This window comes from Homo sapiens, chromosome 6 (assembly GCF_000001405.40).
Source record: "Homo sapiens chromosome 6, GRCh38.p14 Primary Assembly".
Classification (NCBI taxonomy): domain Eukaryota; kingdom Metazoa; phylum Chordata; class Mammalia; order Primates; family Hominidae; genus Homo; species Homo sapiens.
Window position 1 is genome coordinate 142547061 of NC_000006.12, and position 25039 is coordinate 142572099.

Here is a 25039-nt window from a genome sequence, read left to right on the forward strand (position 1 = left end):
TTTGATACTATTTCCATTCCCACTGAATTGAGATTTGTAGATCACATAGTAGAAAACTGTTGCTGGCTTGCTGAGGTAACACTGAAAATGTTTGTTTTATTTATTTTTAATATTGACATACAAGGTAGAGCTCATAAGTCAGCCAATTATTTTAATATGGGTATATTCATTTACAAACAAATAAATATGTAGAAATACATGTGCTAGTGACCAGTTTAAATAGCTCATGACATTTATCACTCAAGTAGTGTTTACAACTTACTCTGTAAGAACAACCCAGCGTGCACAGAGATCCTGTCACACGCAGGAATAGCAGGTCAAGAATCAAGAATGGTCACTCTTTGGTACTCAGCATGCCTCCTGAACACTTCTGCTTAGGTTTTCTGACATTGCCCTAACTCCGTGTAACCAAGACCAAATCCATTTTTCACAATACCATTTCTCTCTCCAATTTGCCTTATTCTCATAGAAATCTTCATTGTCCTCATTATCCAAGAGGTGTTGCCTCTTTCATCTTTCTACCTTTTATTCATATATCTAATCAATTACTGGTCCCTACATTCTTATTGATGAAAAGTTCTTCAAAATAGCTACCATATTATTGCTGATAAAGGCTACAATATAAGAAGACTGTTTCATTTTTAAGAGGCAATCAGCCAGTGTGCCATTCTGAAAACTGTCAAGAACAGCATTCCAGAATCTTTTAAAAATAAATATTAGCTGCCAGGATAATAATATGCATGTGACATATTGATAAAATAAAATAATTTAAAATGAATATTAAGGTTTTTTATCTCCTTATATATTGTGAAGAACTGTATTTTTGACCATGGCTTTTTTTAGGTCATTCTGCAACCTCACATCACTTCTTTCTGCTTCTTTGTGAGGTCAGCTCACTTTATGGTCCATACTACCGGGGACATATAGGAAAAGGGAATAAGGGGAGAAAGCATGGTTTTAATATTCATTGCTTTGTGGTTCTATGTAGCTAAACAGTAACTCTAACCTGTCATTACCCTTACCACCCCTGCCGCTAGAGTACTTGAAAAATGTCAGAGGATAAGTTAAACATGATTCCTTTGTACCTATGCAAGCCAACCCCTTATTACCCTCTTTTATAAAAAGTCTTATTCCAATTGTATCTATACCCCAAGTTTCATATCAATCAAAAGGAATTCTAGGAGGAAAATTTTCTCAAGCCTTTTATTAAATAAAAAATTACTGAAGAACCTCCTCATTGTCTCATAAATCTGTAATTAGAATAACTTCTCCACTGTCCCCAGCTCCTGAGTTCAGATTCTCCAAACTCCGTTCTTCATAATCATTTGCAACACATAATGCCTATGCCTTAGCCTCGGAAGTTCAACGCCTCCTGGTTGGTGGTTACGGCCCTGCATTACTGGGACTCACTCTACTTGTTTAAACCTGTTTCCATCACTTCCTGCCATATGCTTGTCAGCCAATCCCCCAATGTCCCTCTCCCCTAAAACAAAAACATATCTCTGCTTTTTAATTTTGCCTCTATTTGATTGTTCTCTCTCTCTACATGCTCTCCATTCTTTCCTTTTCCTGTTTAAATCCTTCTAGTCCTCAAGGATCATTCCTTCACAGTCCAGTGAAGAACTGAGATAGCCTTGTGTGCCTCATGCCTCGGCAGACCAACTTCCAATGACCAGCCAATCTCCTTCACTTCTTTTCATACTTCCCTGCACTCCTTCTGTCTCCTGCTTTTATTTTTTCTAATACTTCCTTGTACTCCTTGGTTGCTTATTGACAGCACCATGTGAGTTAGCACCTAACTTAGCACCCTTATATTGTTCCAGAATTAATAATGTATGTGTGCTAGTCTTCTCTCCTCAAGTAGACTGTAATCAGAGACTGTGAGAAAAATTATTTTTTAATGTATATCTACGTGTGAAACTAAACTTATTTTAACATATGTTGTGCATAAAACTACCTCTGGTCTTTTTAAAAAGATACTAAGTGATTAAATTATTCACCTCATAACAAACCTGAAGATTTGCAAGCCTCACATCATCAAAAAGGCACAGGGTGCATAAAACTGTCAGAATTTTGGAGAAGGGAGGTCACATACAAGAGCAAGAAGCTTAGAGCAGGGAGGGTGGTCCACAAAGAGAAACCATAACTAGAGTAACAGTTTTGATCTAGAAGGAGGATGTTCTAGGTTATTCCAGGAAGAGACAACAGACTACTTTGAAATAAAAGAAATAAGCAAAACAGTGAAATAGTAGATACTTGAACTCAAACCAATATTTGTAATTTTCATGGGGACTTTAATCATTTAGAACAGAAGATTGAAAAAATTAAAAGAAGATTGAATAGCCAGTGGCAAAGAGGGAATTAGGTCAAAGGTACATTACATTTCTTACAAAGAGACAATATATGGCAGGCCCAGCTTGGGGTGTGTGTGTGTGTGTTGTGGGTGAGGGGCCTGGAGGTGAAAGCCCAGCAGTGGGAAATGAAAAGAATTAAAGGTAGGGAGGCAGACAAGTACTAATAAGTGTAATGGCAGGTGAGAGGTAGCAGACAGGTTGGCTGAGAGGCAACTTGGAGAAGGTTTGGTGGCACATTCTAGGTACCTATTTATGTAAGTGGACATAGGCAAAACATAGTCTCTTGAGAGACTGGAAGGAGAAAGTGGGAATCTAGTTCCACCGAAATTCAAGTACAAGAATGAAAGCAGGTGTCTGCCTACTCTTTTCTGGAATACGAGGTCAGGTTTGGTGCTGTAACTGGAGGATTGATCACCAACCACTGGTTAAAGGCCCTTATCATGCCCAGACCAGGAGAAATGGTAAACCTTTTTAGTCTCCATAATCATGTGAGCCAACACTTGATTATGAAATGACTCAGTGTATAATAAATACTTTTTTCCCCAGGGTCAACTGTAGAGATACAGATACAGTTGACCCTTGAACCACCCGGGGGTTATAACGGGGTATCAATCCCTTGCACAGTTTAAAATCGGCATATAACTTCTGACTCCCCAAAAACTTAACTACTAATAGTGTACTGTTGACTGGAAGCCTTTCTAATAACATAAACAGTCAATTAACACATAAATAGAATAGAATTCATGAATGCCTAATTTTTCTTAATTTTAAAAATATTTCTGGGCTACATAGTTTATCTGTGAGTTTTTTCAATCTTTTGCAAACCTCAAAAAAATTCCAATATATTTATTTTTGAAAATCTACAGACCCATAAGCTTCAAACCCATGTTATTCAAGGATTAACTGTATATAACTAAATTGGTTCTGTTTCTCTGGAAACCCTGCCTAATACATCTTCTGTGCGTACTTTTCTTTTTAAAAGATAGCACCACTTGCCCTGGAGTTGTGGTCAGGGAAAGGGCAGGATTCAGAAGAAACATTATCTAACAGGCTTGGATTCAGCCCTCAATATTCTGGCAAAGTCACAGAGGCCATTCTTGATGCTATTTCTGAAACCAGCTCCTCTCTACAACCAGCTTGAGCACATGGCAGGTGCTCCATAAACAATTAATGGGGGTTAGACCATTCCATACGAATGTTAAAGAAGTTCTCATTTGCAAACTTTACTTGCAGGAGCCTGTTCACTGAATAAAAGATTTTTGCCTTGGTGGCAAGAATGTAAATGTCACCATTTTCTTTCAGGAGGTACACATTTCACTTTAAATCGGCATGTATTATTCATTTCACTTTAATTCTGTGGTGCCGACCCTGGAATTGCATATCCCTACACTGCTGCTGACTTCCAAGTGCCTTCTAGGAATAAGGGCCAGTCTGAAGCTTCAAATAACATAACGCCTCACATCTCTCTATTTCCCACTAATTACGTGAGGTCACTTCATAAGCCTGCCAGAAACCCAGCTCCCCACTGGCAGAAGAGATACATCTGCTAGCACAGCTCTGAGCGGAGAATATGTTTCATCCCTGAAAATATGTGCTTAAATATTTAATAAAAGCATAAACTTGAAGAACTTATGGCAGCTGTAGGGAGAGAAGCTGAATAGAAGGCAAAAACAATCTTCATTTGAGGAGATTAAAAGAGTTAAAGAAATGTGTATGGTATTATACAGCTTTATGGTAAACAAACACTCCAGGCAAAAATGAAGAAAAAAAGACACACAGAGTGCTTGCCCATGCAAAGAAGAAAACACAGTTTAGAATATTCTAGAAGTTCAAGTTTGAAGCAAAATCCAAGTTATGTCAGCACTAACCACTGTCTATATAGCCTTCCATACAAATCAGCCCTGCTCCTCAGGAAGACAGATGGCTCAGTATACAACACGTACATAACCACAACCTGAGCTGAGAGGGACCTGCCGCAAGCAAAGAAACAAGGCTTCCTCAGAGAAAAGATAAACTGTGCTCTTTTTAAAACCCACTGGAACTGCTGCTCCCCTTGGCAACCCAGGGTACAGCAGGGGGCATCGGCATCTTCCAACATACAGGCAACCAGCTGTACAACCTTGGCAGAGCAGCTGGTAACCACAGCCAGGCGGCTGTGTGTCATTACCTCAAGCCTCCAAACCCCAGGGTGGCTCCCCGGTCCCCTAGGCTGTCGCAGGCGTGGCAGGAGCTGCCTTCTGAAGGCTCAGGGTTCTGCATTCCTGCGCTGTCTTGGGGCAGGAGCATTAGTCAGCCTTCCTGAGCACAGACAGTACCAGACTTGCCCATCCGTGGCTTATAAATAAATGATCCAGGAAAGACACAGAAGGTCACTCCTGCCAGGTTAAAGGTAGCACTCACATTCTGTTTCCAGGAAAGTCCGAATGAAATAAGAGAACATTGAGAGGATCTGTGGATGCTCAAAGCCAGGCAAAATCTGTGGAAATCAAGAGCAGCTTAGAGGATTAACCTCAATCGCCACTTAAAGCAAGCATCTCATGAATAAGTCATTCACTTTTTTGGGATTCGTTGCGATCAGCTTGTCTTCTGCATACTTGAGATCTTGTTCAGTGAGAAAATCCGTGTTATGACTGGGGTTAAAGGGTTTATATTTTAAAGTGCAGTATTTTAGGAAATAGGACTGATCTGGGGTGAGGCAAAATAATGTCCTAAGCTATGTAAACCAAAAATAAAATTCTAAGGCCCCCAACCAACTGAACAGACCCTCTCATGGCCAAGGGGATCCCAAAGAGACCTGAAAAACTAGTTCAGGCCAAGACAGCAAGGGCGGTTGGATAGACACTCCTGCCTTGTTATGCCCTCCTCCCTTAGGAGTTTAGGCACAATTGACCAGTATTAATATAAAATAAAGATCATAGACTGACAAAACAGACACTTTGCAGCAATAAGATACAAAATTCCAACCTGACTCTGGTATAGCGTCACATGATAGATAGCAGTCCCTGAGGGAAATCAAAGTATTTTACTCCAAAATGCGTTTTTTGACATATTTTGAAATGGCTCTCCTTTCCCCTACTAGGTCTTTTCTGGAGAGTGTCACACCTTTTAAGGTCAGATAAAAGACATTTAAGATATTTACAATCTATTCTCTCTGAAGGTTGCTACCTGGAGGTTTCATCCACATGATAAGAAGCTTGGCTTCCATAACCCTCTTATCCTAGCTCAAGCATTTCTTTATGCTGACTTCAACTCTTCAGGTATAGCTTAACTCATTCAACCAATTGCCAGTCAGAAAATCTTTGAATCCACCTATGGAAGCCTCCCTGCAACAACCTCAATCCTGCTTTGGGCTGAACCAATGTATACCTTACATGTATTGATTTGTATCTTTGCCTGTAACTTCTGTCTCCCTAAAATGTATAAAACAAAGCTGTGCCCCGACCACGTTAGGCACATGTTCTCAGGGCCTCCTGAGGCTGTGTCATAGGCCATGGTCCTTGACTTTGTAAAATAAACCTCTAAATTAATTAAGTCCTGGCTCAGATACTTTTTGATTTATAGACAAATAAGAGACTATCGAATATTCCTTTTTCCAAAATAATTCCAAGGGCCAACCTACACAAATGACAGCAGACAGACCTTTGGACTTCATTTCTGCATTCTGAGCCTCCTGCTCCCCAGGTTCAGATTTTAGGCTTGCTATGTGAGTCTTATGATTTATGATTTGGTGATGTTCGCAGTTACATTAACGTTTATAGTTTGGATGGGAACCTACTCACCACACATAAGAATGTTTCTCCAAGAAACACTTTCCAAGTTCTCCACAAGTGACTTAATAAAATAAACTTTTAGAAAGCAATGTTTGTAAATTGGTAGCAGCTTATATCTAATATATTAGACCAGCTTATTTTCCATAATGAATTTTACATAGTATCAAACTAAATTTTCCCCCAAATTTCATACTCTACATTATCTATCACTCATTTATTTGCTAGTTTATTGGGTTCTTGCAAGATGTTATGGATTTAGACATGCATAAGACTTCCACCCAGCTTTTAAGGATTTTGTACTCTGAAAAATCAACAGCCGTACAACTAAGGAAGGGCGGGGATTAAAGGAAGAACAAGATGCTTCCTTCAGAAGGAGGATTCTGGGGAAGCATAGCAAGAAACCTTGAAGAGGAAGTGACTCCAGACTCCTATCTTGAAGGACGAGAATATTATATCCTATGGTCGGAATGTTTGTGTTCTTTTGAAATCCCTGTGTTAAAATTCTACCCCCTCAAGATGATGATATTAAAAGGTAGGGCCTTCAGAAGATGATTCAGACATGAAGATAGAGCCATTATGAATGTGATTAGTGCCTTTGTAAAAAGAGGCTGAGGGAGTTTATTTGCCTCTTTCATGAGGACACGGAGAGAAGTTGCAACCCAAAAGAGGACCCTCACCAGAATCCAACCATGCTGGCACCCTGATCTTGGGCTTCCCAGCCTCTAAAGCTGTGAGAAATACATTTCTGTTGTTTATAAGCCACCCGGTTAATGGTATTTTGTTACAGCAGCCACGGTTGACTGAAGACATTAAACTTCTTCTGAGGAACATCCTTGTACAATATTCTCTTATAGGGTGGGGCTTGAGTCTACTATTAATGCTTACCATTTAAAAAACATTTAAAAAAGTTACTAAGAGCTGCTATAATCTGAAAAAACCCTGGACAACACTATCTAGCTACCTCCCCTACAAGTCTCTTCCCATGCCACCATGTCCAGTGAACCATTTGATTTACTTTTTGAATTTGATTGGGATTTATCTTATTGGAGGTACCTAAGCAGAAAGAGTCCTATCAAATTTCTGGTTACTCTGAAAACAGTGGGCCCATGGCTTTAGAGGCATCTAGTGGTAACAAAACCTTGACATGTTTTGTGACAGATTTCCCACTTCCCTGTAATATCTATGTGTCTTCAGGGTTAACTGAGCTGCTATACCTCACAAAGAACAGTCAACAATGGAATTTAACATTTGTTGAATATTTAAATGCAATCATTAATTTAGGGAATATTTCAAATATCATATAGGCAATAGAATTTTGTCAGCAGGTACACTTATGGTCCATCAATATAATTTCAATTAGTGCTTCTCAACTGGCAGGCAAATGTGCAATGCTGTGCCATTAATGGGCCATAGGAGTACTTTCCTTGGCCCTTATAGCAGTCATGTGGGACCCTGAGTTCCTGGGCCAGTGGCAATGGCATCTTTATCCATTTGTCCAAATAGCATAAAATATTATCATTTTCTAAGTTTGCATGATTTGAAAAATGTTTGAGAAGCCTTAGTTTGTACTAGAAGTTCGTTAACGAGCCTGACCAATCTGTCTTTGACCTCTCATTGTGCTGGACATAGGGTAAGATGCAGACAAACCCCCATGACCCGAAAAGCTCTCAGAAACACTAAGCTGAGCTTTATGATCACTCATTCCAACCATATGCGAAGAGTGCTTCAAATTCTGTTTGATGATGATGACCGTGAAGTCTAGCCTTCACTCTGAGATTCATACTCATCTGGACAGAAGAGAAGTTGAATCAGCTGCAGTCTACTCTTTACTGTTCCATCTACCTCAAAACCGCCCCAGCTGGCTCCATCTCTAAAAGAAGCAATTGAAAAAGAAATCCTATTATAAGCAGACAACTTTAGTTTGTTTTGACTCATGAATAATCAAATAAAAGATTCTGAAAAATATATATCATATAAAGGGGTAGTGTTGATACAAACCTGAGGCCAATGTAGTGTCAAAACTCCTGCTTAGTAATCCAATGGGAAACTCAGTTGTCAAAATCCTCCCAGAAATGATAGTAAATGAGGGACAGTGAAGAAAGGCAGTGGTACTGTTCAGTGTAGACATGTGTTAGCGGTAATGATGGCTCTGTGGTAGCTTCTAGGGCCCTTTTTATAACAGAAAATAGAAGGCTCACTGAACTGTCCACCCAAAAGACTACACTGTTGGCATGTCATCACTGTCACCTCCCTCCCTCACACTGGAACTCTGGACAATTGGCATTCATTTTCTACAGAAGCCAAAGACATGAGGAACAATGGGACAGAGGGCACATGGAAACCACCTCATCTTAGCCATTTTATGCCAGTCTTTACCCCTATATGCTCTTCATTTCAGACTGAGGAGTTGCACTATCAGACAGATCAGAACCAGCAGTTCTCTTCTTCAGCTTGTTTGACAAGACCTGTTATGCCTTTGAAATGAGAGACCACTGACCCAGGATGCAAGAGTCATCTCAATGGGCCTACAACCAGGAAGACTGGCTCAGCAGCCTGACAGCACATTGCCTGGAGACACATGTGATGTTAACAACCAGATGAACCCATGTTTTCAAAAAGATAAGATTTGTGCATTATGAAGTCCCAGACCATTAGGGAGGATATTTTCTCAAGTCTTTAAAGGTAGCAACATAGAGGAATTTTTCTGAGGTTGAATCCTAGATAGTGCATGTTGTGAGATAACAGTTGACACTCAAAAGCAATTTCTCAGGAAGTGCTCATGATTATTTTTTCTAACACTCATGTACATGTTGGAACAGAATAGAAAGAAAAACTCTATGTTGGGTGGCCACAAGAGTGATACAAGACTCATGAGGCAAATCAAAGTTTTAAAAATAACGCTTTGCTTTACATTAATCCTGTTGATAATGCAATATAGAATGTATATATATATGATGTACTCAATCTACATATATATCATATATATGATATATGTGCACACATATATACTTGACATATATACACATTATATGTACATATATACATTGTGATGGTTAATTTTACGTGCCACATTTACTGGGCTAAGGAATGCCCATATAGTGGGTAAAACATTATTTCTAGGAACCCAGAAATAAATCCACATATTTATAGGCAACTTATTTTTGACAAAAGTGCCAAGAACATTCATTGGGAGAAGGACAGTCTCTTCAATAAATGGTACTGGGGAAACTAGAGATCCATATATAGGAGAATGAATCTAACCCCCATCTCTCACTATAAACAAAAATCAACTTAAAATGGATTAAGTGCTTAAATGTAAGACCTGAAACTATATGAAATTAACAGAAGAAAACACCAGGGAAATGATTCAGGACATTGTTCTGGGCAAAGATTATATGGAGAAGACCTCAATAGAACAGGCAACTAAAGCAAATATAGGCAAATGGGATGATATGAAACTAAAACCTTTTGCACAACAAAGGAAACAATCAACACAATGGAGAGACAACCATCAGAATGGGAGAAAATATTTGCAAACCCTTCATCTGATAAGAGATTAATAACCAGAATATGCATGGAACTCAAACAACTCACCAGCAAAAACAAACAAACAAACAAACAAACAAACAAATAATCCCAACAAAAAGTGAAGAAAGGACTTGGATAGACATTTCTCAAAAGAAGATATACAAATGGCCAGCAGGTGTATGAAAAAATGCTCAACACCATTCATCATCAGGGAAATGCAAATCACAACCACAGCAAGATGTCACCTCATCTCATTTAGAAAGACTATTATTAAAAAAGACAAAGGTAAATGTTGGCAAGGATGTGGAGAAAAGGGAATGCTTATACACTGTTAGTGCGAGTGTAAATTGGTGCAATCTTTATGGAAAATAGGAACTGGTTCCTCAAAGAACTAATAATAAAACTACTACATGATCCAGCAATCCCGCTATGGAGTATATATCCAAAGTGAAGGAAATCAGTATGTCAAAGACATATTTACACTCCCATGTTTATTGAAGTGTGTTCACAATAGCCAAGATATGGAATCAGCCTCAATGTCCATCAACAGATGAATGCAAAAAGAAAATGTGATATATACAAATACTATCCAGTCATAAAAAAAAACAAAATGCTGTCATTTATGACATCGTGGATGAACCTGGAAGACACTATGTTAAGTGAAATAAGCCAGGCACAGAAAGACAAATACTGCATGTTCTCACTCAGGTGGAATCTTAAAAAGCATCTCATAGAGAGTCGAAAAGTGGTTACTAGAGACTGGGAAGGATGTTGAAGTAGGAAGAGGATATCCAGAAGTTGCTTAATGGATACAAAATTACAGCTAGATAGGAAGAATAAGTTCGAGAGTTCTACAGTACTGTAGGATGACTACAATTAAAATAAATTTGTATATTTTCAAGTAGCAAGAAGAGCAGATTACAAATATGCCCAACACAATGAAATGATAAATGTTTGAGGTGATTGGACATGCTAATTACTCTGATTTGATCATTATATGTTGCATACATGTATTGAAATAGCACACTGTATCCCATAAATATGTACAACTATTTTGTGTCAATTTAAAATATTAATAAAAGCAAAAAACAAAAATCACTGGGTGTGTCTTGAAGGTGTTTCCAGAAGAGATTAGCATTTGAATCAGCAGAATGAGTAAAGAAGATTGCCCTTACCAATGCAGCTGGCCGTCATCTAATGCTTGAGGGCCTGAGCAGAACAAAAAGGCAGAGTATGGCAAATTCACTCTCTCTGTCTGAGCTAGGGCAAAAATCGCCTCCTGCCCTTGGACATTGGCTCCCCCAGTTCTCAAGCACTCAAACTCATATTGGGAGTTGCACCATCTGCATTCCCGGTTTTCAGGCCTTTGGACTCAGGCTAAAATTTCAGCACTGGCTTTCCTGATTCTCCAGCTTTGTGGATGGCAGATTATGGGACTTCTTAGCCTCCATAACTGTGTGAGCCAATTCCTTAAAATCTCTCTCTTTCATTCTCTCTCTCTCTCCTATTGGTCTGTTTCTCTGAAGAACCCTAATTAATACATCCATACATACGTATGTCTTACACACACAGATGTGTTTGTGGTCATTTCATCTACAAGAGGAATGGAGTCATAGGAATAAGCTCCTTCACTTCTGTACATACATACATACATACACACGTGTACGTATGTATAATACTATACTTATTCATATGTGGTTCATTCATCCCTAAAACATGAGAAGGGGCTTCTGGAAAGATAGCAAACTTAAAATAATGCAAAAAAAGAAAAAATAAATTAAATTACATCCATACCTCAAAGAAATGCTAAAATAGAAATTTACTCAAACCAGAGAAAAATTGTGTTAGTGAATTAGAAATGTGAGTTGTTATTTGACTTCTTGAAGACAAGAATTGATTTTAAATTAATTTGCATAGGGTACTAGACATTAGATACAAGGCTTGCCCAGACCATTTTTACATGTGAGGTTCTTGAGAACAAGCAGATAATTATGTTACATCAACTGGATGCTTAAAGTAGAAAAACTCAACAGCTCTGAATTATTCTCACCCAATTTGCACTAACCGTAGGGAGGCAGCATCATGTTGCAGAGAACAGAGCCTAAACTGGGGAATCTGAAAGACACGGATTTAAATTATGGCTTCATTATTTACTAGCTGGATATATTGTTTATTTTGAGGCTCAACTAATCTGTATAATTCACAGACAATTATCTCACAGTTTTTGTAAACAGAAGATAGTATTTGACATTCCTAACATATATTTTAAACACTCAGCAAATATTTATTCTTATTCTTTCACCCCTCAATTATGGTGATGCACTGATCTTTGTCCAAGTGTCCAAAATAGCATATGGAAAGTCCACAGAACAGCATTAACAGTATTAAGGAGTATACTAGATACTTTCACAATTATAGCGACTCTACTTAATACTTCCTTCAGTCTTGTATGACGTATCCCATTTTATAGATGAGTAAGACCAGACTCTGAAGGGCCATATTCAAGAGCTGGACCAGTGTAACCACAAAGCTCTTCTCCCATGCATCTAGTTGCCCTCACTCTCTGTCGAGGCAGCATTTGTTCTATCGGCGGGGGTGTCTGCTCTCTTAGGCAGGAGTATCACAATCCATGCTGTAAAGAGTCCTCCCAGGCTCTGCCCAGGCTAAGAATTCATGTAGGCATCCATGCAATAGATATTTATTTATTGAGCATTTCCTGTATGCCAGGCACTGTCACAAATACTGAAAACTGAATCCCCTGAAGATATTTAAATATACCAGTAGGTTGGGGCCTAAATCTTTAGTTTTCTCATTTCTACTGCTGTTTCCCCAGAGTATAATGATAACTTTGCTGATAACCATGTCCAAACATCACTGTATCCCATGTGACTCTAATGTCCCTGAGTCTTTGTGGATGCCATGTAAAAACAAAATGACTTATTTCATATACCCTTTTGAGAACTACAACTTAGACTGCAAAAAAGAGGTTACCCTTTTCTTTTTTTTATTATACTTTAAGTTCTAGGGTACATGTGAACAATGTGCAGGTTTGTTACATATGTGGACATGTGCCATGTTGGTGTGCTGCACCCATTAACTCGTCATTTACATTAGGTATATCACCTAATGCTATCCCTCCCCCCTCCCCCCACACAACTACAGGCCCCAGTGTGTGATGTTCCCCTTCCTGTGTCCATGTGTTCTCATTGTTCAATTCCTGCCTATGAGTGAGAACATGCGGTGTTTGGTTTTTTGTCCTTGCAATAGTTTGCTGAGAATGATGATTTCCAGCTTCATCCATGTCCCTACAAAGGACATGAACTCATCCTTTTTTATGGCTGCATAGTATTCCATGGTGTATATGTGCCACATTTTCTTAATCCAGTCTATCACTGATGGATATTTGGGTTGGTTCCAAGTCTTTGCTATTGTGAATAGTGTTGCAATAAACATACATGTGTATGTGTCTTTATAGCAGCATGCTTTATAATCCTTTGGGTATATACCCAGTAATGGGATGGCTGGGTCAAATGGTATTTCTAGTTCTAGATCCTTGAGGAATCACCACAGTGTCTTCCACAATGGTTGAACTAGTTTACACTCCCACCAACAGTGTAAAAGTGTTCCTATTTCTCCACATCCTCTCCAGCACCTGTTGTTTCCAGACTTTTTAATGATTGCCATTCTAACTGGTGTGAAATGGTATCTCATTGTGGTTTTGATATGCATTTCTCTGATGGCCAGTGATGATGAGCATTTTTTCATGTGTCTGTTGGCTGCATAAATGTCTTCTTTTGAGAAGTGTCTGTTCATATCCTTCACCCACTTTTTGATGGGGTTGTTTGTTTTTTTCTTGTAAATTTGTTTGAGTTCTTTGTAGATTCTGGATATTAGCCCTTTGTCAGATGAGTAGGTTGCGAAAATTTTCTCCCATATTGTAGGTTGCCTGTTCACTCTGATGGTAGTTTCTTTTGCTGTGCAGAAGCTCTTTAGTTTAATTAGATCCCATTTGTCAATTTTGGCTTTTGTTCCCATTGCATTTAGTGTTTTAAACATGAAGTCCTTGCCCATGAGTTTACCCTTTTCTACAGTCAGGTAAGTGCTGAGTGAAAATTGCTTGGATGATGGGCTTAATGTAAAGTGGTGAGTTCAATGTGTAAGTGTTTCTCATTGCTGCATGTGCACCATTTCATGCATGAAGAACATGAGAAATGAATGACATCAAACAGGAATAAAATACTGCAAAGTACCTTATTTTTCACTATCAAGCTGAAACACCAATAGTGTGGCAGAGAATTTCAGTAAGCAACTACCAGAGGGGCTCCTCATAACACAAAAAGTCAGCAGAAGTACCGCTCTTGGTATCTTCCTTTGGTATAAGAGTTATCAGTCAGGAGCACTTCTGACACTCTCTTGAAATTCCAAGCTGCTCTCAGAGACATGGGGGAGGGAGGTTCTTAGGATTATAATTTTAGAGTCAGCCAAAGCTACTTTGGGAAGCAGCTTCCAGTGTGAAGACTTTTTGGCCAAATAGAACATCCCAAACCTTTTCCACCTTCATAGGAATTGCAGCAGTACCCTAAAGTTCCAGGGTTTCTTATGGCTCATTCAAACCACACTACCTCAAAGCAGCACTCTTCTCTCTTGCTGATGGAAATGAGTTTTCTTGGTGGCTATTCAATCCTGATCAACACTTTGGGCATTGTGGGATAAACTTCTGCCCAGCAACCCAACATGCCCACCAACCTAGAAGTGTATATTGGGGAGCAGGAAGACCATGGGCAATGGAGAGAACCCCTACTATTCACTCAAAACATTCAGTGAGCAGGATTCTTTCATCTCAGGCTAGGAAGCATGCTTCATCAGTTATCTCATCATCCTTTTTACTTTATGATGCTTAAAGTATTGACCTCTTTGTTCCAAATTCTATTCCTGAAAGCTCTCCAACATGGTACATAATTTCTTCCATTTGTTGGGTGAGTGTGCATCACATAAACCCACATATGCAACTGTGGGAAATGAAGAGGAAAATGATGTCACAAAGCAAAGGAAATAAGGCTGCTGCAAACCACAAGTCAATACAGAAGCATCAGCTAACCATTTACAACCAATCATTAGTTTTTGTGTGCAGGTGGAACAGATAAGATATGGAAAAGATAGAGAGTTCTCTTCCTGTCTATGAATCAACTTACCTTGGTCAAGATTTCTTTTGGGAGGAAAAAGAATTTTTTTTAATGGGCAAGAACCTCTTTCTGTTTAATTTTCTTTAGGCAGTCTCTACGTGACTCTTCATAAAATCACAAATAATGTTTACCATTGCTCATACAGATGACAACACAAGCTTTCTCAAATACCTAAGAGTTATTCAGAAAGGTTTCTGATACAGTTGAAATGTGCCGTCTTAGTCTGTTCAGGCTGCCATACCAAAATACCATAGACTGGGTGGGTTTTAAACAACAGAAATTTATTTCTCACGGTACTGGAGGCTGCAAAGTCCAAGATCAAGGCCCCAGCAGATTTGGTGTCTGGTGAGAGCCTGCTTCCTCATAGACAGCTGTCTTCTCCCTCTATTCTCACAGGGAAGAGGGATCTCTCTGGGTTTTTGTTTTTGGTGTTTTTTTTTTGTTTTTTTGTTTTTTTGTTTTTTTTTTTTTGAGATGGAGTCTTGCTTTGTCACCCAGGCTGGAGTGCAGTGGCGTGATCTCAATTCACTACAACCTGCATTTCCCAGGTTCAAACGATTTTCCTATCTCAGCCTCCTGAGTAGCTGGGATTACAGGCATATGCCACCATGCTCGGTTAATTTTTGTATTTTCAGTAGAGACGGGGTTTCACCATGTTGGCCAGAGTGGTCTCAAACTCCTGACCGCAAGAGACCCACCCGCCTCATCCTCCCAAAGTGCTGGGCTTATAGGTGTGAGCCACCGGCCCGGCCTCTGAGGTCTCTTTTATAAGAACACTAACCTCATTTACGAGGGTTCCACCCCCATGATTAGATCTGCCCCATAATCTAATCACCTCCCAAAGGCCAGACGTCCTGATACCATAACCTTGGTGGGCATGAAGATTTTACCATATGAATTTGGGAAGGGGTACAAATATTCAGATTATAGCATGTGCTGTGCTGATTCTGCATTTGATGGATCTGTGGAGTTGATGAGGGGGAGTGGATGTGGAGTGAGAAGGACATGGGGCAGTGGCTCCTCGACACACATGCATACATGCACACACATGCACACTCACACTCCCATCAGCCCCCAGAGGTGTAGTCAGGAATCTTTCAGGGTCTTCTGAGCAGTCTCACACTTGGGACACCAACTAAAAAGTGTCTTGGTGGAAAAAGAGGAAGTCAGTGGGGTAACATTTTCCCGTGGACATACATGTCTTTCTCATTATGTCACTGTCACGGCCCTGAAACTTATCTTAGATGCTACCATTGCAGGCATTTTAATTTTTAATAATCTGTCGTATTTGGCAGCAGCAAGGATAACATGTTGACAAAGAAAGGACTGACTGCATAGTCTCTAATCAACTATTTGGATCACAAAGTAATTATGCAGAAATAAACCCCGGAATGGCCTGGCACAGTGGCTCAAGCCTGTAATCCCAGTACTTCAGGAGGCCGAGGTGGGTGGATCACCTGAGGTCAGGAGTTTGAGACCAGCCTGGCCAACATGGTGAAACCCCATCTCTACTAAAAATACAAAAAATTAGCCAGACGTGGTGGTGGGCACCTGTAACCCCACCTACTCAGGAGGTTGAGGCAGGAGAATCACTTGAACTGGGGAGGTGGAGGTTGCAGTGAGCCAAGATTTTACCATTGCACTCCAGCCTGGGCAACAAGAGCAAAACTCCATCTCCAAAAAAAAAAAAGAAAAGAAAAGATAAATAAATGAATAAATAAATAAACCCCAGGAAACTGGGGAACAACCTAGACGGCAAACACAGTAATGAGAGGTGGAGTGGAGAAACCTAAGGAAGCCACAGATGTACTGTTGAGCTGCCTTGGGTTTGGGGAATTGCAGCCTCCTGGGGGGATGCATAACTCGCTTTTCCTGAAAAACAGCTGGTAACTGCTGTCTCGCCTGCAGGTCGCTCTTGCTATTTTGCCAATCCAGGTATTTCTTTTGGATATTCAGGGGTCTTGCTAATATTTTATATCTGTCCTCTTCCCTTTGGTAATGCTCCCTGCTCTGATCTGATGGAAAACCCTCAGTGAAGATCTGCTCCTGAAGTTCATAGGTTCCTCACCCAGGTCCTCCATTCAAAAACTGGCCAAGGCTCCCAAGGCTTTCTAGGCTTATGGATATTCCTCAAAATTGACACAACACATGCAAAAATGTGCCTACAATGATCTCCTCTACAGGGAGCTCAAGACTTCATTTCTGTCAGGACATTTGGAGAATGGCGGGCTTGATTAAGAATGTGTACAGGGCCAGGTATGGTGGCTCACACCTGTAATCCCAGCACTTTGAGAAGACTAGGCAGGCAGATGGCTTGAGCCCAGGAGTTCAAGATCAGCCTTGGCAACATGGTGAAACCCCCCCTCTACAAAAGAATACAAAAAAGTAAGCCAGGTGTAGTGGCACATGCCTGTAGTCCCAGTTATTCGGGAGGCTGAGATAAAAGGATTGCTTGAGCCTGGGAGGTCGAGGAATCAGTGAGCCATGATTGGGCCACTGCACTCCAGCCTAGGTGACAGAGCAAGACCCTGCCTGAAAAAATAAAATAAAATAAAAGATAAAATAAAATAAAATAAAATAAAATAAAATAAAGAAGATACACAGAAGGGCACATGATGAGGGGACTTAGGAGTGGGTTCTGCAGTGGAAGTGCCCGTGCAACCTTGGATAAATTACTCAAGTCCTTTAAGCTTGGTTTCCTTATTCACAAAATAAGAATCAGAAAATCTATCCTCTTGGATTTCTATATCCTGGTAATTCTGCTTTTCTGGTGAAATACTGATCGATACAATTCCTTATGGGGAGTTGACTTCCCTCACTGAAGTGGGGGGCAGGGTGTCCATTTCCCATGACCCCTTAATTCTCAAACTCGAAGTGTCCTATTCCTTGAGCCATCCCTGGCCACAGGAGCAGAACCTCATGAAGGTGAGTCAGTCGGTCACCTCCCAGTCCCCAGCAGCAGTGATGGACTGAGGGCTGTGCACATTCGCTAAGTTGATCTAGTCAGGGGAATGTCCAGGTCTCTTACTAGATAACATGAGTAAGAGCACACATGGCTCTAGGAGTTCCCCGCAGCCATCTCACTAGCTTGGGTGAAGTTAGTCTGCAGACTGTTGACAACAAATATTTTTGTGTTGTAAAATACTTGAAGAGATTTATTCTGAGCCAAATATAAGTGACCATGTCCCATGACACAGGCCTCAGGAGGTCCTGAGAACATGTGGCCAAGGTGGTCTGGGTGCAGCTTGGTTTTAGGGAGGCATGAGACATCAATCAAATACATTTAAGAAATACATTGGTTTGGTCCAGAAAGGCCAAAGTGGGGGTGGAGCTTTCCAGCTTGTAAGTCGATTTTAAAAAGTGGGGAGTTTCCAGTTTATAGGTAGATTTAAATTTTTTCTGATTGACAATACGTTTATTTATCTAAAGATCTGGGATCAGTAGAAATGAGTGTCTGGGTTAAGATAAAGGATTGTGGAGACCAGAGTTCTTATCTGCAAAGGAAGCCTTCAGGTAGTAGGCTTCAGAAAGAATAAGTTGTAAAATGACTCTTATCACACTTGAATTCCATGTTGATATTAATGCCAGAGAGGTATAACGAGGCATGACCACCCCTACTTCCCATCATGGCCTGAGCTAGTCTTGCAGGTTAAATTTTAAGAGTGCCTTGGCTGAGGACGAAGTCCATTCAGATGGTTGGGGGAACTTAGAATTTTATTTTTGGTATACAGGACAAAGCAGACAGGAGGAGTAAGGCAGAACCAACAGCGGAGAAACACAGTTGCCGCTTTAATGATGGTGTGGGCCTCTGGAACCTGAATCCCCACTTGGCTTTCACTTTAAATGATCTCTTTCTTTAAGAAAAAAGGAGAAAAAAAAAAAAAAGGCCCAGCGCTGTGGCTCACACCTGTAATCCCAGCATTTTGGGAGGCCAAAGCAGGCTGATCACTTGAGGTCAGGAGTACGAGACAGCATGGCCAACCTGGCGCAACCCCGTCTCTACTAAAAATACAAAAATTAGCTGGGCATGGTGGCAGGCGCCTGTAGTCCCAGCTACTCAGGAGTCTGAGGCAGGAGCATCGCTTGAACCCTGGAGGTGGAGGCTCCAGTGAGCCGAGATCACACCACTGCACTCCAGCCTGGGCGACAGAGCAAGTCCCTGTCAAAAAAAAAAGGAAAAGGAAAAGAAAGTTGAATTTTCTGCAATAGGAAGCATTGCCAATGCGCTCATTCCCAGTGGGACTCAGTCCTCTGGGAGTAAACACATAGCTCAGTACCTGATGCTGTGATGGACCCAGGTCCTCACCAGAGACATCTGGTGTCCTTTTAGATGGGTTGGGAGGGGCCATGAAGGAAGGACAAAGATTCTACCAAAGAGGAAAAGATGTTCTGTCTTTTTTTTGAGAGTCCGGCTATGTCTACCATAACAGACCTGGAGGGCATCTTTCCCAGCTTTGTTGGGAGACCTTATAGGAGATAAAGTCTACGAATATACAAATTATAACAAAGACCTGAGATAAGGAAAAAGACACAATTGCCCATTTACATCCTCTGAGCATCTGCATCTGGTCCTATCTCAGATCCCACCTTTGCATCTTCAAAATTCCTAAGCAAAAGATTCTCATTTTTGCTTTAATTAGCTGGAGTTACGTTTCTATCAATTCCAACTTAAAGAGTTCTGATGAACGTGTATCCTTTTCCAGATGGCTTTGTTTAAATGCAAATATATCCCGTAAGATGACTAACATGAGTCCAGGGGTACAGGGACTTGATGACAGAGGTGGCGCAACTGTGCTCCCTGGGACAGCCTCTAGGCGGCGGCCAAATGCATGTGTCTGCAGGCCCCACCCCCACCCCATGCTAAGCAGCTCTACTTCTCTCTCTTCTGTTGTATGGACTGGGCTTCTGCATGAACAGCTGTTTGAAGAAAGGAGTCCACGGTTAAAAGTATTTGAAAACCACTGGCTTGTCAGATTTAACAGAAGAGAGCAGGGCAGGAAGGCAATGGGATGTAGAGAAGTCTTGTTTTCCAAGGCCTAGAAGAACTCTGCGAGAGAGGTCTGGAAAAGATCATGCAGTGCTAGAAATGAACACGAGAGGGCAGCCTAGAGACACTGGCAGCCTTGGCCCTAGTCCCAAAAAGGGAAATTTTCCTCTTTCCAGATGTGACCAACCCCTGGCTTAGACTGCCTGCCTCAGTCATGTTTTTCTTAATTTCATTATTAAGTATTAGTCCTCACTCCCTATCGTGACTGTCTGAATTCAACTATAGTGAGAACAGATACCAGAACATTTTCTGTTGCCGTTGCTGCTAGTCATTATGCCTCTTGGACATTTTGCATAATAGGTCAACTTTCCATGGATGTGTGTTTTGTTTGTTTGTTTGTTTTGTCCTATTTTTATGAAAATGATCATTGTGGAGAGAGACGGGTTATACCTCTGTACCTGTAAGTTGCTCTTTCCAATTTATCCACCAGACTCCGTGTGCTTGCTAAGCCCATCTCCCGCTAGGACCCGTATTAAACGATTAACCACCCTGGGTTTCCTAATAATGGGGAACACAAATTGATCTCTCAGCTGTTTTAACCTAAGATCCAAATACCCACGCTGACTCCAAGGTTTTTGACTTCCTATAAATCCAGGCAACTTTTTTTCCTGGATGTTCTCCACAGCCTTGGAAACTAGAATTCAGCTGGAATGGTTTCTACATAAGTGAATAAAAGTCTGTGAGGTGAACACTAAACTCCCAGTCACCTGGCTCTCCCTGTGTCACAAGGTCTTCTCGCAGAACAAACATTCCTGATCCAACTATTGACAGGAGTACAAGGCTCTCTTCGTTTCCCTTGGCTCCCCAAATCTCCATTAATCATTTCCTCACTGAGACCATTTGCTGAAATGCTCTGTAGCTTCAAAGTTGAATCTATTCTTGCTTCTTAATAGGCCATCTTATTATCTGGCTTTCTTTTCAAAAGCTCTTTATGTTCCTTCTTCTCAAAATCATTTGCACTTTGCCAAATGATACTATTTTGAATAACAGTAAGAGCATTCTAGAAGTAAATTGTGATCTAAAACTGGCTTCATCAAAATAAAACAGATTAAAAACTGTAAATGGGCCTAATTCAAAGGGACCTGAGCCAAGGAGGAGAGGCAAAAGTCAGCTAAACTTCTAGACTGAATTTAAGGAGGACCACCTGCTTCAGTATCACTTGGATTACTGGTTAAAAATGCAAAGTTCTGCACCCAATATCTAACTTTCTAAATCTCTAGCAGTCATCTAGACATGTGCATTTTAAACACCCTCTTCGGGGCAGTGATGCACATTGAAGTTTGAGAGCCTCTGCCCCATAAATAAAATAAACCTATTTTATTTATATGGCCTTTTTCTCAGCCGGATACATCTCCTCACCTTGGAGGCCAAAAACAAGACTTTGAACACTTGTTAGCCTAATACTGCTCCATGACCACAGACTGTGTCCTAGCTGTTCAGAAATCCTATTCAAAAGCCACAAGGGGGACCAAGCAAGAGGGTATGGATGATACATTAACTCAAATCCATCTCTACTATTGAAACGACCATGCCGGAAATATCCCTTCCTGATCATAAGGCACTGGTATCATGAGAAATATCACATCAGTGGATATGCAGGTCAGCATTGCACTATGTGTATAGGGGAGTCTAGAGAGCACCTCTTTCCATTCTTGTAGATTCCAACCAAATTATTCCTCCCTGTAAATTTCTCTGTTCCCAGCATCATTTCAATCTCTTCCCACATCATTATTTTATCCTTAGATACCTGATTTAGATTCATGTATCTATCACTAAATACAGTAGAGGTGCTCTTGAAGAAGTTTATGAAAAGATGGGTTTTTGTGCTTTGTTTTTTGGGAGGTTTTTACTTTCTTTGTATAAATCAAATCAAATTGTTGAATATGTCTTTGCTCATGATTCTATGAAATTTTGAGTTCATAAAGAAAATAAAATTTATCACCAGCAGATAACCTGCATAGCACACAGGACTTTGTTGAAGGGTATTTATTCAGTACAGCCCAGTGAGAGGACTCTTGGTCAGTGGAACTATAAATGCGTTATCCACAGGCAAGGCTATTCCTCTTTCAGTTGAAGGACTCTTTATGAGATCATCTGAATTCCTTTTTAAATTAAGCTCCATGCTCACCAAAGAAACATTCTGATTATGATCTTGCTCCTTACATAACTTAGCAACAGGGAGGAAATGCTGTGAGTTTGCCTCCTGCCTTCTGGAGAAACCTTTTATCTTCATTTCTAGCCAACCACATTATAGTCTTCCTTTGGTTCAGAAAATCTTCCATGGTTTCTTTAATAAAAGTAACATGTAACACTAAATAAAACTTACTTTTTCTGAGCTATGGCTTTAGTTCTCTTTTCTGAGAGTCTGCTTCTGACTCATCAATGGGTATGAATTAGAGTGGCAGAGGGAAAGAGCTAAAGACTGATCAAACCTCCAACCTTACATTTCCCTGAAATTCACAGAAGATGCATAATGAGCTATCACCTTACATATTTTTCACAACTGCTTTTACTCAGAAGTACCAAAATGCAAAGAACTCCTTCTTTCTTACAGGCTGCAGAGCCTCAGAGACCAAATAAACTGTGAGCATTTGAATGACAACTGAAACCTCTTGTGTGCATTTTTATTTATCTAACTCAAGATTTGCTAGAGTTCAAGCAACTATTTAAAGTTCAAAAACCTATGATTAATGTTTAAGTTGCTGATGAGATATTTTTCAGATCCTGATCATTGCTGAGCAATGGCATAACATTAAATGCTGGAGCAGCAAGATTTTACTTTCCAAAGGACTGAGCTTACAGAACATGAGAGGGAGGCAGGAAGAGGGAAAGGGTGGAGGAGTCTGAGGCAGCTGAATGATAAGCAAAGAACTCTTTTGTTCTTTTCACACTACGGAATCAAAGCCATTTCAGTTCACTTCCCACACCTGAGATGTTTGTCACTAAGCCATTTCCTTCTCTCTGAAGTGGGTTTAGACAGTCATTTTGCTGTTGTGAAATTCACATCCCTCTTTTCCCAAACCACATCCATGCCTTTCTCAGTTCACCCTCCCCAGAAACACCTACTCTCAGGCAGGATTGGCAGTTTGCAAGTTTAGAGTCTCATAGAAGAGATAGATGACAAATAAAGCTAGAAAAAAAAACTCTTTTCAAGGAAATTGTAAGACCTCTTGAAATACAAAACCTATTTTTCCAGGTTTCTGATTTTAGCCAGTATGAAGATCAATGGAAGCAAACTGCATTACAATAAATGTTGTCAGTCCCACTGATATTCCTTGAAACTGTATGTTCATGGAAGCCCACAGTCTGGCCTTGTTTCAGTGGGATGCTTACCTGAAGTTCACCTCACTACATTCCAGTTACTGAAGCACATGACAAGTTGTGACTTGTGCATAGTTTTCCCCTGAGTTTTGAAAAGTAGAAAGCTGTTATTTAGCTTTGTGGTTTGTTGGGGTTTAAATTTCTGTTGCTATTGCAGCTGTCTTAGCAGTGCAAATCCCAAAGCAAAGAATGATGTGAAAAATTTTGCTCATTTTGAAAGTGTTAGAGAATTTTTTTTAACTTTGACTCCTTGAATTCTCCAGGAAATGATGTCAATCAGTTTAAACAAACAGCACTTTCCACAGAGCTCCCAGGCAAAGTCACATGGTGTTCTGTGTGCTTGGAGCTCACCAGGTTGGTATTATGAGAGGGGACAAGTCAATTGGTAAGTTATAGCAAGGAGGAAAGTTTGAAAAACTTGGAGGATGGATGAGTTCCTGAGTGATTACCTAATTCATTCTCTTGACCACAAACAGTTCTATTGATGAACCTTTCCCAAGAGATGGCTTTCTATTGTGTTTTCAAATATTTTTAGAGGGGAAGCTCTGCTCTGCAGGTTAGATAAAATGGGTAAACTGTCAACTCTAAGGTGGGCTGTAAGTAGGACTAAAGACATCTGCTTCTTGTCTGTGGCAAAATCCTAGATTTGGATAGATCAAATTTGGATAGATCACATGCAAGAATATATAAACAAACAAACCTTTAGAGAAACAACACTGAACTAGAAGGGAATGTAAACCTATTTCCAAAGATTCTGAGAAAAATCTTGTATTTGAAAAATAACTTTAAATCAGAAAGAAAAAATTTATGATGACATTTTCTTAATGTCATTAAAGGAAGCAGGACTACATGGCAACTATGAAAAAAGAGCATAAAATTACAGGGAGAAAATTCATTAAGATGAAGACAGAGATAAAGAAAGAAGCATTCTTAAATTTAAAATGTAAAAAGTTCTGTAATCATACAGAATTGAAATGAATATGTGAATTGGAGGCATTAATGAATAGAATTGACAATGCATAAAATGAATTGGTCCTGTGGAATAGTAACTTAAATATCTCCCAGAGCGTCAAGTAAAACATAAAAGAGTTCAAATTGCCAAGAGTGAAGATGATTGATGATCAACATGGGTAGCCAAGGAAAGAAAATCATAAAATAATAGATGTTCCAGAAAAAAGATATGTGACTGATGAGAATAAAACAGAAACTAAAGATTCAATAAAACGAGATAAATATTAAGAAAGATCAAAAAGGAGTAGCATAAAACAAAATAGCAGAAGAAAAAGCAGGTAAATTAGTTAAGACAATAATGAAAGTAAACAGGAAAAAATTTGTTTCCAAAGGGCAAATACCCAGAGTAAACATAAAACTACCTGGGCTATCAGACTCCTAATATATAAATCAAAAGGACAAAGAAACATCAAATCTAAAAGAATAAAGAGTATTAGACAAATGGTAAAGATAAAAGAAACTATGCTTATGGCATTTCTAGCCAGAGAAAGTAAAGTTATAATTACAATGAGAAACAGAATATTTTCATAAATTGATGAAAATTATGATTATCAGAGACATTTGAACCAGAGCAACTCCATCTTGAATAGGGGCTAGATAAAATAAGGCTGAGACCTACTGGGCTGAATTCCCAGAAGGCTAAGGCATTCTTAGTCATAGGATGAGATAGGAGGTCAGCATGAGATACAGGTAATAAAGACCTTGCTGATAAAACAGGTTGCAGTAAAGAAGCTAGATAAAACTCTGCCAAACCAAGACGGCAATGAGAGTGACTTCTGTTCGTCCTCACTGCTACACTCCCACCAGCACCATGACAGCTTACAA

General features: G+C 39.9%; 1 long non-coding RNA gene across 2 annotated transcripts in view, besides 1 other annotated feature; it reads right to left on the reverse strand.

Annotated features, from left to right (window-relative positions):
• The window catches only part of LOC153910 (uncharacterized), a 111435-nt gene that overhangs the window by 20606 nt on the left and 65790 nt on the right, over positions 1-25039 (reverse strand). The gene's annotated exons all lie outside the window — the stretch shown is intronic.
• Positions 4006-4507: an enhancer, noted in NCBI's record as "H3K4me1 hESC enhancer chr6:142872203-142872704 (GRCh37/hg19 assembly coordinates)". NCBI's record gives its function as "activates a minimal SCP1, AML or CMV promoter by ChIP-STARR-seq in primed H9 embryonic stem cells {active_cell/tissue: H9 hESC(primed)}" and the evidence as "EXISTENCE:reporter gene assay evidence [ECO:0000049][PMID:30033119]".